Here is a 16014-nt window from a genome sequence, read left to right as displayed (position 1 = left end):
TACGTGACCTGAAGGTAGAGTTTTGATTCATGCTCTAGAAGGGGTATTTATTAGCTCTAATGGACTAAGAGACTAATGGGCCTTGTGTGCCCGGCGAAGGTGCTTTGACCTACCCTGTGGGTGATGGGGAGCCTCTGAAGGATTTGAAGCAGGGCAGAGACGTGGACAAATCTGCCAAAAGAAAACAAACAAACAAACAAAAACATCAACAGCATGTTATGTTAATGTGCGATTCCATTTAGGCTTTTGGAATTTTGAAAATAGCTCAAAGACCCCGTTATGACCTTGACAGAGGCCAGGTTGGAAATTTCTGAATCCAATGATTCTTTAGCTCCCCTCTAAGTCTGACAGTCTAAGATTCCATAATAAGGAAGGTACAGCTATTGCCAAAACGTATAATGCATCACAGTGTCAGACTTTGGGATTATCTGCTGCTGGGGGTTTTCCACACCACTGCTCCCCTTCATTAGTGGGGATAATTGAGAGTTGACTGCAGTCGTTACTGCTGTTGTGATGGGTATTTGAAGCTAAATTCGGGCAAGTAGGAGATGTGTGAATATTTATCTCAGCTGCAGAAACTTAATGCAGTGTGGCATTAATTACCCTGTCTGAGCCTGCTGTCTTCTTCTGTTTTTAGGTGTCATTTTCAGTTGGATAAATTAGTTTCCAAAATTAGAATAGAGCAAATTGTAGGGTGAGATCAAGGCAGCCTGACTTCTTGGGGCATCCAAAAAGAAGAATGAGCTGAGAACATCTATCCAGGAAACATTAATATGCGTGCTTGAAGCCCAGCACAGGCAAAAGGAAATATTTTTCCCCAGTAGTTGTACTTAACTATTTTTGACTCCACCTACTGCACTTGTAGAACACAAACACACAATAAAGTTACATGTTTAGCCTTACAACATGTATTTGAAATAGTTCAAGAGACTGGAAAGGAATAGATTTGGTGTTTAATAAATCATAATCTTACTATAGATTTTGCTACATTTGATTTTGAGAGAATAAAGCCAAATTGGAGTGTATTTAGGACAAAGGGATCAGAACTGTGAGGAAACTAGAAACAGCATTATAATCATTCAGTAATTCAACAGACTCTCATTGAGGACCTACTGTGCTAGGTTCATATTTGTAAAATGGCAGAAGGAGGCCTGGCGCGGTGGCTCACACCTGTAATCTCAGCACTTTGGGAGGCCGAGGTGGGCGGATCACAAGGTCAGGAAATTGAGACCATCCTGGCTGACACAGTGAAACCCTGTCTGTACTAAAAAATATAAAAAATTAGCCGGGCGTGGTGGTGGGCACCTGTAGTCCCAGCTACACGGGAGGCTGAGGCAGGAGAATGGTGTGAACCTGGGAGGCCAAGCTTGCAGTGAGCCGACATCGCGCCACTGCACTCTAGCCTGGGCGACAGAGTGAGACTCCATCTCAAAAAAAAAAAAAAAAAAAAAGGCAGAAGGAACTGGCAAGTGGTAACCTAGAAGTAGGACATGGAAGAATGGGCTTCCGTACTTTTCTGTCATCAGACATTTGGACGAAGGATTGTACTTATTTACATTTCCAAGGGCAGTAGAAAGTCTACGGGCAGAAGGCATGGAGGGACAAGTTGGCACTTTGTTACACTGCATAATAGGGTGCCTCCAAGGAAAGAAGTTCCTTCCCACTGGAAGAATACAAACATAACAAGTTCTAGAGGAACCAGAAATTGGATCTGATGGCAGGAGTCTTGGGGTCTACTCTTGGCATGGATACTAAGTAACCCTGTGACTCTGAAGAAACAAAAGCTGTCTTCACAGGACTTCAGATTCCTCATCTGTACAATGATGGGCCAGTACAACCTTATCTTCTAGGCCATTCCACTTTACAGTAGAAAGCAAGCAATATGATATGCTACACACAAGAGACAGCACAATGACCTTGAGATCACACAACCTTTCAGAACTTCAGTTTTTATCTGCAAAGGGAGGACTCAAAAAATAAAAGCCACCCTCAGGACTATAAGGCAGATAAATAAGACATGAGGTGCTTTGTAAACTCTGAAGCACCAATGGATGGAAAGATTGGGGTCTCTCTCTCTCTGTCTCTCCCTCCTCATGGTCACTGTTGTAAAAGATTAGAAAAAGCACTGGCCCCTGGACCCTGTTTTCAGTTCTCATGTCTCTAGACTTACTAGCTGTGTGACCATGGGCAAATTATCTAACTTCTCTGTGCTTAATTTCACCCTTGCAAAAGAGATAAAGCATCTGCCTTACAAGGCTGTTGTGATGAGATAAAAAGACAATGTACTTGAAAATACCTAGCATGGTGCCAGACACATGGTAGGGGCTCCCAGAATGCCAATTCATTTTGAAGTTTCAAGAAAAAAGCAAATAATAAGAACCTATATGACAAGGCAGGGGACAAGCTAATATATCAAATATGGTAAAATTAGGATTTCATTGTGCCCGTTTAATTCTGGCACAGACCTCCAAGAGTGACAGCATAAAGGTCAATTTTAACAGAAGGTCCTGTGCATGCTTAAAACCACAGTATCCATCAAATCTGCTTGGCCAAGGCACAATGAGCCATCTCAACATCAGCTGAAGTCTGACGGGGTTTAAATAGGGCCGAACGCTGTTTCCTATCTAGGTGTGGATTGCAGGTTTGCTGCATTACATGCTGGTTGAAAATCCCTGTATGTGTTTCAGGACAGCCCCCTGGGTGCAGGCAAATGACTGGCCAAAGTGGAGGGCTCAGACTGAATGGAAACAAGTCCAGAAGTTTGTGATTAAGAGACAAAGACACACTTGCTGTTTCTCTGGCTCAACAGTGCACCCAGGCATCACTATTTGTAGAAGAGCAATTTGAAATAGAATTTCAGGGTTCTCAAGTGGACATTTATGAAACTGTGTTGGAAAAATGTCCACTTGTCTCATGGTAATTGTTAGCAATTTCTGAAGATGTATTGCTAGCAAGCATTGTGCTAGATACTTTATATGTGTAATCTCTAATTCCCTCAAGAACCCCGTAGGATAAACAGTACTATTCCCATTTTGTGGTTGGAGAAACCAAGACTCAGGATAAGTATCTTGTCCACATGACACAGCTTTTCTAACTCTCCCTACTATACCATGCTACTTCCCTAACAGGGCAATCAGTTCCAACTTGAAAACGAAAGACAGAACTGAGTGCATAGCTATTTTGGATAATAAAAATGTTGCCAAAATGTTATGCACCCTGATCAAATACTCCAAAAATAACCTAAGGTCATCCATCATAAACTGTCACTTTTCTGTTTTAATCCTAAACCCCTTTTCCCAAAGCTGTCTCAGAAAATCCATGCAAGTGTAAAGAGCAGGCCTCACTTTGTTCCTTTATCCACAGGAGCCAGAGCCTCTGTACGCGCAGATCAACAGACCTAAGAAATAGCATCGATGCGAGCTCGTGGTGGGTGCTCAAGACTGGCATGGACATCAGCATCACGACAGGCTCTCTTGTATTCTTTCACCTCTTCCCACAAGAAATTCATGATTGCCCAATGGAACTCGCTCAGAAGAGGGAACTAAGCATTTTTGGCAACCAATGGCAGATATCTATGGCAGCACACAAAAAAAGTATAGAAAGATCCACCCAACATTAAATCAGAAATCAAGCAAATGCTTACCCAACAAATATTTGAGCCCTCATAGCTGGGTTTAAGATGACTCAGTGTGCAAAATTATTAATTCCCTTTTTATTTCTCTACCTGTTGACCACTGTTGAGACACCAAATTTGGAGTGACAGGCATCAGAGGATTACAACAGGGTTGGAACTGACTTCTTTAAGCAAAAGCAAAGGGTCTTCTGTGACCACAATATCGTCATCCATATGCCTTTTCACATAGGATGATGTGTTTTTTGTCACTCCATGGGGCCTGGTCTGCCATTTTCCCCCCTTTCCTTTTTTTGTCATGTTTGAAAATTAATAGGTGTACAAATTTTTGTATTGCTTTTGACTTTTTTTAGATATGGGTGAAGAAATCTAACTGGGGAGAAAAAAAGCCTCAGTGAAATGAATTAACTTGAAATTACAAGACAAATAAGTGGTTGATTATTCATTATGATCACGAATGTTGCCAAAACAGTCCTTTAGCTATTCTGCATCCTGGTGAAGAAAGACAGCTTTCAGTACGAACCTTCATTCTGTGAGTAGGAAAAGACATCAGATCCCATTGATGAGAAAGATGAAAAATGCATCTGATTTCTTAAGAAGCTCTAAACTCTAAGTACAATAAAATGATATTTTTTATTTTTCCGATATCTTGCTGCTGTGTTGCTATGCAGACAAGTGTCTTCTCCACGTGCCATTTTCAAAGAAAAGTCATTTGCCAAATAATTCTGGTACAATTCTGGTAATGTGGTTTTGGATCTTAAAAACCAACTTTCTAATGGAACAATGGTGGCATAAATATTCAGAATAACAAACTGATTCTGTGGTCCAAATGGTTCATCTCTATCTCTTTTTGTACATCAGAAAATTCAAATGGGATTTTTATTTTATAACTTGAAAAAAAAACCTTACCATTAAACTCTTTAAATATTTAAGGGAAATGGCTTTAAGGAGTTCTAATGAAAAAAAATTGTCTTTTTTTTGTAAATATAAATGTTAATGAAAATGATTTTTAATAATGCCATTACACTGTAGAGAAGGTAGCAGATTGAGTGCAAGGTGTGACAAACTTGATGGATGGGGCTCACTTTCCAGACGTTATTCTGGAGCATATGGTAGGAAGCTGGAGTGCAGGGACAGCTGGCAGGAGCAGTTGGCCAATCAGCAGCTAGTGAACGGGAAGGGAGCACGTGACTCCATCATCTAGCCTTTCCACGAGAGTCCCCACCCTACGTGCAACACAAGAAAAAGACAATTCACATTCTGAAGAATTCAGATTCTGAAACTCTCCCACCTCCCCACTCCCACCTACCCCCGATATAAATCACTGGACTGTTTGTACGTGAAACAGAAGAGGCTAAGCTTCCTTTTTTTACACTTATGAGACAAAAAGTGCAGTGTTTGGTTCGTATGTTTAGCACATGATTTTCATAAAGAATCTATATATTTTTGCCCTACAGAGAATTGTTATACAGGTCAAGTGTGTTTTCCTGATGTTCCTATGCAGTTACAGTATGTTGAAAGTGTTTTAACACTAAGAAGAAAACTTTAAAGATTCATGTGATTAATTGGATTTGAGGATAATTATTATTATTTGGTTTTTAGATTTGAAAAGTAGAATTTCCATTGAGACAATTGATTTGAATAGGCCTGCATTTGATTCTTCATATCAATAGAAACTAAAATGATTTGGGAGATTCATTTGAAAAATGATTGTATACTTGTTCACAAAGCGAAAAGTGATACATGAAGGTAATGGTTATCATTTAAAGCCCACATTTTACACTATCAGGTCACAGGAGTCTAATTTTTTTTTCAGTTAGATAAACTGACCAAACGTCTATTCAAGAATATATGTCAATATCATCCTAATGTGGAAGGTCCGAAGAACCAGAAAAGTGAGAAGGGCCGTTTACCTCCCTCTGTAGCTATCACCTGTTGGTCCACAGAGTTTCTTGAGAAATGAGCAAACATTTTATGATTAGGTAACCCTTTCACATGAACGGGAAGATGGGAAAGGTGGAATGACCATAAGAGTTGGCCTGAGACCAGTTTGTTTTCTGGGGATTTGGTAAGATAGGCAGTTCCCATGGGAAATTGCTTAAATTGCTTTGTTGCCTATGATTTGATTCTAAACAAGTGGTGCTATCTTCTCCCTCAATATGGCTGTCTTGAGTTTGTCTTGCAGTATCACACCATTATACCAATTCTTTGGGTTGCTTCTGACACATTCAAAGTGAACTCTGGCTGATGTTGCTGTTTCAGGTATACCATCTGGAGTTAATTTCCTAGCAGAAGGTGAAAGTCCAGGAGAATTGTCCTCTTTCATTGAACATGATTGAAAATGTAACTGGCTCTGAACTTCAAGAAGATAGATGCCCAAGTGATGCATTAAAGTAAGGGAAATAAAGTCAAGTTTTTCAACTGCCATCCATATTCTCATTGGCAGAATTCTGATTTTTTTCCAAGCACTGTTTGGTGAGCCTGGAAGCACCGTATCCTGTCCCAGGAGTACAGTGAAATTTCCAAGCAAGAGCTGAGGTGCCAATACCAAAAGACCATGGGGAGTCTGCACGGTTCTGGTTAGATCAATAGAAAATCCATGTGTACAACTGTTAATTCCTCATCCTCCACTAGCACTAAATTTGTCACTTTAAATTTTGAAACCAGGGAAACACCACCTGTCATTCTGTCCCCATTCTCCATAGCTCTTCAATCTTTACATGCCGCAAGACTTTTTTGATAGCTCGTACTCATCCCAGTGTCTCCTGAAACCCCATCATGTAATGTACTGGGCACCTTCTTTTAAACAAATGTTTACTCTGTGGGTTTGGTTCATTTCAATTTCTGCGTTCTGACACATATTTTTTTAATAAAGATGAGAAAGAGAAAATGACTGTTGCAGTACCTTTCTAGACCTACTTTAACTTTACCTCAGATGACAGTTTGTTAACATATATGGACACATTATTTTTAACTTTATGTACAATGCATTCAACAGAACAGCAAAATTTTTAGAAATTTTCCATTAATTTCTGTAACACACCATGTAAAACTGTTACAAATAAACATGTTTGAGAACAACACTTTAGCCTGGCTTTATTCTACAAGTTTCCACTGGATATTCAGGCTTGGATCGGAAGAGGAAATTGCTTTACCTAAGATTCCATCTGACCAAGTGACAGCCTGTGTTTCCCTGGCCCTGAGCTAAAAAGAGCAAGCTTTATTGGGGAGTAAGGTCAATTTGTCAGCCCTCAGTTGAATTCAAGTGCTTGCTATGCTTGGAAAAGCAGCCCCAGACAGGAAGGAGGATGTTGTCAGAAAAAAAGCAAACCCTGGGTAGATGTGGTATTTGGACCACATTTAGCATGAGACGTTCAAAACTGGGAAAGACTCTGGGACTAGCCCTGTGGATTGTGTCTTCCCCTAAAACAAAACAAAAAAAACCTATTAAACTATTGATTGGAAAACCGAGATTAATCTAGACTGTCAAAGAGTTCCCCATCGTTCATTTTAAGGTCATCTGCTTTAAGGGACTCAAGAAGGAAGCATTTATCTTTCTTTACATTCCCCTCAAAATCCACACCAAAATAAAAAGGCCTGAAGCTGGATTGTATGTATTGAAGAACAGAAAAAAATGAATATATGTAGGTGTTGTGTACATATTTATGTATGCGTGTGTGTGTGTGTGTGTGTGATTTTTATTTCCTTTTGTAACTAAATCAAATAATTAGCCAGATTACAATTAGGTCATTGAGATGCGAAAAACCACCACTGTTTAAGAATGGTTTTGTTAATGACTGCATAAACACAAGCCCTCAATCTGGCCTTGTTACAAAGAAGGTATTAAACAGATGTTATTGCTAACTTTGAGAAAATGAGAAAATGGGCTTAGATTCTAGCAAAGTACATTTGGAGCAGATAGAAGAAACAATTTCCATACAGTTAGAAATGCTAAATCCTGGACTGAATTGTTAGAAAATGTTGCAGAAGTTTTTGTTTTCATTTTTGTTTTGTTTTGGTTGAAACAGGGTTTCACTCTGTTGCCCAGGCTGGAGTGCAGTGGTGTGATCTTTGTTCATTGCAACCTCTGCCTCCTAGGCCCAAACAATCCTCTCGCCTCAGCCCTCCAAATAGCTGGGACTACAGACACGCACCACCATGCCTGGCTAATTTTTGTATTTTTTTGTGGAGATAGGGTTTCACTGTGCTGCTCAAGCTGGTCTCAGATTCCGGAGATCAAGCGATCCACAGGCCTCAGCCTTCCAAAGTGCTAGAATTACAGGCAAGAGCCACCGCAGCAAGCCAGAAGTTTTTCTTAATAAAAACAGTGACTTGCACATGTTGAACAGCTAGTATGTGCCAGGCAGGTGCTAGCTGCTCTATGTCCATTGCCTCAGCTAATTTTCTAAACAACCTGGAAGGGGTAGATATTATCCCAATTTATAGATAAAGAAACTGAGATTCAGGTAAATTAAGTAACTTCCCCAGCCAGCAAATGGCAGAGTTGAGATTTGAATATTGGGTCTCTTTACTCATACTTGAGTCTAATTTTAAAATAATTGGATATTCACTGTTTGAAATAGTTCTACCTAGGTTTTTTGAAAAACATTGACCTTCTGTGTCTCTTCTCAGACTGCTAGTGGATCTTTGGTAATAAGTTAAATTTCTAAGTTCCTCCCATTCAAAGTAAAAATTAAAATCCATTAGATGTTACTGTCTTACACTGCTAAATACATAGTTCCATCTTTAACCGGCACCTTTCAAAGCTTGTGTGTCTGAGTGATAAAGAATAAACTGTTTTACCCAACTCGTTGAAGTTTAGCTGAAACCAAGCACTGGGGATTTACTTTGCCAACCTAAATGAATCTTAAAGAAGTGACAAATTAAAAGGTGTCCTATTTAACTGCTAGGTGGATGCCAAAATAAATGAGGCAGACATATCTGCTTTCATTTTGTGCTTGAGAGTAAGCCCTTGTTGTTTTGACAGTAAATGTTTTTTGTTTTACTCAGAATGACAGTCGGAAAAACACCTAGAATAAAAACAGGTTTCATTGAAATCAACCTTCAAAGCTTTGAAAGCTTTTAAAAGAAGTTTAAATTCAAGGGAAATGTGAGCAATGGTGCCTGGAAGATTAAAAAGAGAGAGAAAGTAAACAGATGTGAATGGCTTTCCAGCCATTTCGTGACCGGTCTGGGTATGTATGTGAAAACGGGAATAATCACTGCCACCGTTGTGCTCCTGCTTTGTCCGTGCCACTCATTTTCTAGCTACTGTTTCCAAATCTTTACACGAACCCCAAGAGGAAAAGAATATGCTCTCCATGTCACAGGTTAGGAAACGGAAACTCAGATGTGTTCCACAACAGCTATCAATTAACAGAGCCAAAGATCTCACCCAGAGGCTGTCACAGTTCCCGGGGCTGGATTCCGGGCCTCTTTCCTCTATTCCATGGTGCTTCTTTCTGACAGGTTTTCTGCGACGTCAAATTGCTCGTATACCCTCTATAAAATACTTTGAGCCCTTCTGTATTCATTTCCCTGTTGTGTCTATTATATTAGAAAAATCACACCATGCGTTACCCTGATCAATTCAGTACAGAAATGGATTCTTACATAAAATGACCGTAGTTATTTAAAACAAAGGAAAAATCCAGTTTTATTCTCAAGAACAGTAATAGCTCTAACTCAATCCAATGAATATTTAATTTCATAACAAAACCCTTTCATTCACTTTATCTTCCAAGGTACAGAGATCTGAAGAGGGAGGCTTTTTGAACAGGCTTTCTTTTTACTCTTTGCTGAAGAATATTAATGACTGCCAAGTGGAAAAATGTCTAAATATTCTTGCGAGATGGCAGCCTCTGGTGACTTGGGTCTTTAATCTTCCGAACAACCTCTTGCCACTTCTATCACTCACTCGGGGGGATCACAGCTTGGAGTGGGGAGCAAGCAGGAATGGTTGGAGATGGAAGAAGCAGGTCTTAGAGCTGGCATACTGTCAACACTAAAATGCCACATGCCCTTCATACTGTACCTTTAGCAACTCTACCTTATCTCACCTTTGGAGTGAAATGGTGGGAGAGGTGAACTCTGAAGTCTATCTTATTTCAGATTACAGGTCAAAGTCATTCACGTGTAGCTCAGGGCCATGAGATCAAAAATCTAGCAACTTAGTTACTAAAGAAAAGCTGTTTCCTTTTTACCTGTCTTGTGCCCTTTCAGACCTTCATAGAAGGAAGAAGAAAGGTGGTCAACCATCACACAGCCCATATTTATCCTTTTAGGATAAAGCAACATGGTGTAGACTAAAAATAAGGAAACCCTAACTCAGTGATTAGTCCCACTTTCATCAGAAGAAAGACAAATGATGCAAAAGTCAAGGAGGCAGATAATCGTTTTCTTTCTTCCTGGTGGGCGCTAAACTTAAGCAAAACCTGAGAAGCAGGGTATGTAACCAAATCTTCACCCTGGGCTTATTGTTCGTTGCTTTTCTCATTTAAGTGGAGCACACTATCTTCACTGGTGAGTCGATATAGAATAGTTTCCACATAGTGGACCCTGATTTCAGAAAGTCTTTGACTTGCCAGTTGTTTCACCTCAGACAAGTCACTTAAACTGTCTAAAATTTCATTTACTCACCTAAAATTGCAGCTATTATAAGAAATAAATTTGATAATTTCATGCCTGGAACATAGTAAACGCTCAATGCATGTTACCTGTTGTTAATATCAAAGAAAGTCTAATCACTATTATGGATTTTTGTATTTAATTCTTTCACTTTCACCTTGCCCATCTATTATCCCAGCTCAGTAACTCTATCAGGTGTGAAGAAGGGCAGTAAGTGATATTATCTCTATTTTATTGTCAAAGAACGGCAAAGAAGTATACACAAACAGCATCCAAATTTTCTTCCCTGGCAAAGTTTAAAGCAAAAATGCATTATGGACTTTTTCATATAACAAAGAGTTATTAACAATGTGCTATGTGCCAGGTCTTCTGATGAGCACTGGAGATTGAAGATTTTTTTAAGATGCATACATGACTGTCCCTGCTTCAAGAAGCTCAGATTCTAGAGGGGAAAATAGGTTAATAGACAAGTAAACTGTAGTAGAATTAATGCTGGAATAAAGGATGTGCTAATACTATGGGAGTGGTGGGAGAGTGCTCTATGGAAGTGTTGATGGTTAAACTGGGCTAACAGTGAAACCCCGTCTCTACTAAAAATACAAAAAATTAGCCAGGCGTGGTTGCAGGCGCCTGTAGTCCCAGCTACTCGGGAGGCTGAGGCAGGAGAATGGCCTGAACCCGGGAGGCGGAGCTTGCAGTGATGCAGTGAGCCGAGATCGCGCCACTGCACTCTAGCCTGGGTGACAGAGCGAGACTCCGTCTCAAAAAAAAAAAAAAAAAAAAAAAAGAAGTAAGTAGGAGTTTACCATAAGGTGATGGTAGTGGGGGGAAGAGCATTAGCTAGCAGGGCCAGTGCACATGATATGCCTGGAGTGGCTGTAAAGGAAGACAGAAAATAATGCTCATTTAACTGTCGAACAACAGAAAAAAAAATTTCTCAATTCATATATCAAATCTAGAATAACAAAACATCAAAAAAATACAAATTATAGCCTAATCTTTTCAATGGATAATCAGAAGTTCCTACATTTTAAACATAGCTGTAAACCATGACTAAATAAAGTTGACTTTCAGAATGTAATTAATAGCTCAAGAGAGACTGTCTCATCTTAATGGATGCCAAAAAGGCATCTGATAAAATTCATTATCCTCTTCAAGAAAAAAAACTGGAAACTAGAATTATAGTAATATTCCCTTCACATAGTAAAGAACATCTTCCTCAAACCAATAGCCAATATGAAACTTAGCAGTGAAAATTGAGGGTAGCCCTGCTAAAATCAGATGGAGATCAAGGTGGCAGCTACTACCTCTATCATTTAACATTGCTCTGAAATTTGAGGCAATGCAATGCACTAACGCAAGAAAAAGAAATCAAGTGTTTAAAATGAGAACATTATCAGTGTTTGCAGATAATATTTTCTAACAGGAAATATCTATTAGAAGGGATAAGAACAAATAAGAGAATTACCTAAGGTTGCTACTTTAAAAATAAATATATAAAAATCAATATTTTTTATATTGCCATAAGTAACCTTATAGAAAACCTACTGGAAACTTACACAGATTCCATTAATGATAGTAACAAAAGGAGAATACCCAAGAATAAATTTAATACTGAAGATTTAAGAGCTAGATTAAAAAAAAAACCAACAAAACAAAGCTACAAAGGCTTGTTGAAGGGCATAAAGTAATAGAACAAATTGAAAGAGAAGGTCCAACTCTCTCAAATTAATTTATAACTTACTGCAACAAGTATCTCAATTTTATAATATATCTTCAATCATGTATTCATATTCAATCATATTCTAAGTCATATCTGAAAGAGATAAGAATGTGAGATTATTTGAGGAAAAAAATTCAATGTCATGATCATAAACTTATACTATCAGATCAGATCTCAAAAATAAACCCAAAATAATTTAAAGTGTTTGCTTTCACAAATTATTCTGTGATTTATTCTATTTACCTAGTCATGGTTTACAGAATATAAAGTACAGAAATAAACTCAAGAAATTAATTTATGATTGAATATATTCTAATTAGCAGGGATAAAATATACTATTCAATAAATGGATCTAGGATAACAAAGACTACTAGAAAATGTTAGATTTCTACCTTATACCTTATGGGTAATTAAATTCCATATAAGTTAAACATATGTAAACACGAAAGTGTATGGGAAAATATTAATGAATATTCATATGGGGTAGAAAAGGTCCTTATAAGTATACCACCAAATGCAGAAAATAAATATTTATAAAAATATGAATAGGTTTACCAAAAATTGATATAAAAAAAGAAATTAAAAGACCATGGGAAATTAGGAAAATATTTACAGCATATATTATAAACAAAGCTTTATTGTTCTAAATGTACAGAAAGCTCCTAATAGCTTTATAGAAAAAGTTTATAGCAAAATTAGTAAAGAGCATGAGCAAACAATTCCTGAAGAAGAAACGTCCATAAATAATAGCCAGAGACATAAAGCCCCTAAATGTTTCATCAATAGGAAGGATATTAACTAAATTACCGTACTATGCAGCATTTTTCAAAAAGTGAAAGGAGTCTAAATATGTTTATATGGAACAATATCGAGACATTTAAGAATAGTGTGTGTGGTGAGTTCCCATTTTTGTTAATAATATAAAAAGGATTAAAAAGTATGCATGTAGGTGTTTATGTTTACATAGAAAATTTTCATTACTCTATTCAGGAAAGTGCTTATTTATTTAATAAGCATCCAATGAGTACCTGTTGTGTGCCAGCCATCATTCTACACGCTGGGAAAACAAAGCCCTTGCCCTCATGCAGTCATGTTAAGCACATGCTAACTAGAGAGTTCAGCTCCAGAGATGGGGTGTAGGAGCCTGGGGTGGGAGAAAACAAACTTACCATCTATACCTCAGTATGCTATTTGAAATGTTATGTTACTACCTACTTTCTGTTTCCAATATTTTTAATTAGCCCAAAAGCATTTTAATGTACCAATTTTTATAATCAAAAATTCAAGTTAAAACAAGATAACTTTTGCCTATCAGATGACCAATAATTTTAAAAGTGATTATCTGTGTTGGTGAGGCTATGAGGAAAAAGGCACTCAAACAACTTCGAGTGTTTGATTCAAAGATTTTTAAGTCAATTACTTTTAAAAGGACATAATATTCAACATGACAATTCCATGTATAAGACTGGAATTTAAAACATGGGAATTTCCGTCGTAGTGAACGAATATGTATTAAGATGTTCACTTTTTATATATATAACAGAGAAAAACTAGAAGTCTAAATTTCAAATAATATAAAACTAGCTAAATATTATATTTGTAGAATAGGATGCTATGACTATATAATCACTGATATACTCCTTGAAGACAGAGACCATGTCTCTTATATTTATTTTCCACATCAATCAATCAGTGTAATTTTATGAATGTTTATGAATGCAGCCATTACAATGTTACAGAACCTATTTTACCCCATTGTTTTTCAGACTGTTTTTCAGTAATCATTCAATATAACAAAGTGTAAAATCAAGCCGGATGCAGTGGCTCACTCCCGTAATCCTGGCACTTTGGGAGGCCAAGGCAGGCAGATCACATGAGGCCAGGAGTTTAAGACCAGCCTGGCCAACATGATGAAACCCTGTCTCTACTAAAAATACAAAAATTACCTGGGTGTGGTGGCGCATGCCTGTAGTCCCGGCTACTCAGGAGGCTGAGGTATGAGGATCTCTTGAACTCGGGAAGCAGAAGTTGCAGTGAGCCAAGATAGCACGCCTGCACTCCAGCCTGGGTGACAGAGCGAGACCCTGTCAAAAAAAAAAAGTATACAATCATGTATACATTACATTTCTAATTTGGTTGGGTAAATGTACATACTCACATATAAGCATAGAAAAAAAACTGTAAAAATCCAGGTAGTAGGATTACATATGATTTCCATTTTATTCTGTGCACTGAAATTTTTTATTTTGTTTTCCTGTTTCTCTCTTTTTAATTTAATTTAGTTTAATTTTAAGTTCCGGGATACATGTGCAATGTTGTCCTGTTTCTCTATACTGAATAGCTATCCTTTTTTTAGTCAGAAAAAAATAAATGTTGTTTTAAGAACCAACAACACTTTTGTTATTAAGAAAACATAAAAAGAACTGGTAGTAAGGAGAAGGTGGGAAAGAACAGCCTTGGTGGAAAGGGGAAAATGTGAATGATAGATAGAGATAACTGTGAGCTGCCTAAGGGGTGGACTCCTGGACTAGTAATGCAGAGGTGAAGAGATACAAGGGGCTTGTCACAGGCCAAATAGCTATGGCTACGGGGAGGGGACAACTAGGTCTGGCCTTGCCCAGCAAGGAGTCAGGCTGTGATTTCTAGGGGACTAAGGACTGATTTGAAGCAGAACTGCAGCACACAGAGAAGGGGTTTGGTCCCAAAAAGCTTGTTAGAACCCCAGGCAGACCCATTGGCACCCTGGGGAGGACATCCTGCTGCATTGGAGTGGACATCACCTACTGGAATTGAAACATGGTTCCTAAGAATGGGCTCTCATGGCCAGGATCCAAAAGGAAGGCCATGGTTCCACAAGGAGACCTGTTCTGAGTCGAGATGATAAAGCTATCTCCAAACCCCACCTGCTGGGACAATGCTATCTCCAAACCCCACCTTTAGACCAAGGTGATGAAATGCTATGCAGATGTCATAATAATAGGAAGTATTTGTTGAGCTTTTAATTTGTATTAAACACCATGTGAGATGCTTTACTTAGATTGTCTCAGTTCATCCTCACAACAGCCCTGTAAGGTTTAAACTATTATTGTTCCCACTTTACAAGAATGGCACCGAGGCTTAGAGAGAAAGCTCACAGGTCACAGAAGCTGCACTTGGAAGGGCTAAAATTCACATCCAGAGTCTGACTCTAGAACTCAGGTTCTTAATCATTACTCCAAGTTGACTCCTTAATTAGGACCAGAAGTTACTCATTGAACTAGAAGAGGTTGTTTGGTGACAGTGGGCAATGTGTGTTGGAGAAAAAGGAAGAGGATTTGGGATCAAAAACAAAACTGACAAGCACTTAAGCAATTTCTCTCTCTAAGCTTCAAACTACACTGATAAAGCAGTCAGTGGAATTCCATCAATCCCCTCCTCAAAGAGAGTTTGATCTTTGGACAAGGTTTGAATGACACACTCTCATCCTTAAACAGGCACAAAGAGACCATCAGAAAAAAACCAAGCACCCTGCACTTTATGCATTCTTCAAAAGAGATGTGAAAACGGGTTGGGCAAGACCAGACCCTTGCGTACCTTACACAGCCAATGACTTTACTAACTCAGGAGACACACAAAACTCAGCTCTGAAAAACAGAGGCATTTTAGAGATCATGGCCATCAGTGAGTTGGAGGAGGAAGAAGGCCCAGAGATTTCTACTCCCAATCACTCACAATCTGCCTTTCTTCTCAAAATTATAGCACCATCATTGCCAACCTCACCTCACCCATGAAAGCCATGCTGTGATCAAAGGAAGCATATCTTTGTCAATCTACAAAGCCTATTGTTTATAATTTACAACTTGCAAAGGAACAACAGCATGTTTATTTAGTATACACCCTTTATTTTAGTAAACATAAAAATTAAAAAGTTTAGACAATATAAAATATAGGCCTGGTGTGGTGGCTCATGCCTGTAAACCCAGCACTTTGGAAGGCTTGAAGTCAGGAGTTTGTGACCAGCCTGGCGAACATGGTGAAACCCCATCTCTACTAA

The 16014-nt window shown here is 38.4% G+C and overlaps 1 protein-coding gene and 1 long non-coding RNA gene across 21 annotated transcripts in view; one reads left to right on the top strand and one right to left on the bottom strand.

Moving 5' to 3' along the window:
• Positions 1 to 6714, top strand: part of DAB1 (DAB adaptor protein 1) — a 1551949-nt gene extending 1545235 nt beyond the window's left edge. For all 8 annotated transcript variants that reach the window (NM_001379461.1, NM_021080.5, NM_001379462.1 and 5 more), the window contains one exon: positions 3364 to 6714. The gene's annotated coding sequence lies outside the window, so the exon portion shown is untranslated. The remainder of the gene's footprint in view (positions 1 to 3363) is intronic.
• The window catches only part of LOC112267900 (uncharacterized), a 50726-nt gene that overhangs the window by 13206 nt on the left and 21506 nt on the right, over positions 1 to 16014 (bottom strand). For 11 of the 13 annotated variants that reach the window (XR_007066117.1, XR_007066120.1, XR_007066112.1 and 8 more), the window contains 5 exons: positions 13928 to 14065; positions 12003 to 12074; positions 9027 to 9178; positions 3345 to 4857; positions 114 to 171 (listed from right to left, as the gene is read on the bottom strand). This is a non-coding gene — a long non-coding RNA (uncharacterized LOC112267900). The remainder of the gene's footprint in view (positions 1 to 113; positions 172 to 3344; positions 4858 to 9026; positions 9179 to 12002; positions 12075 to 13927; positions 14066 to 16014) is intronic. The other 2 variants (XR_002958544.2, XR_001737646.2) reach the window with 2 other exon arrangements.

This window comes from Homo sapiens, chromosome 1 (assembly GCF_000001405.40).
Source record: "Homo sapiens chromosome 1, GRCh38.p14 Primary Assembly".
Taxonomy (NCBI): domain Eukaryota; kingdom Metazoa; phylum Chordata; class Mammalia; order Primates; family Hominidae; genus Homo; species Homo sapiens.
Note: the sequence above shows the minus strand (reverse complement) of the source record. Positions and strands in the feature narration are given on the sequence as shown.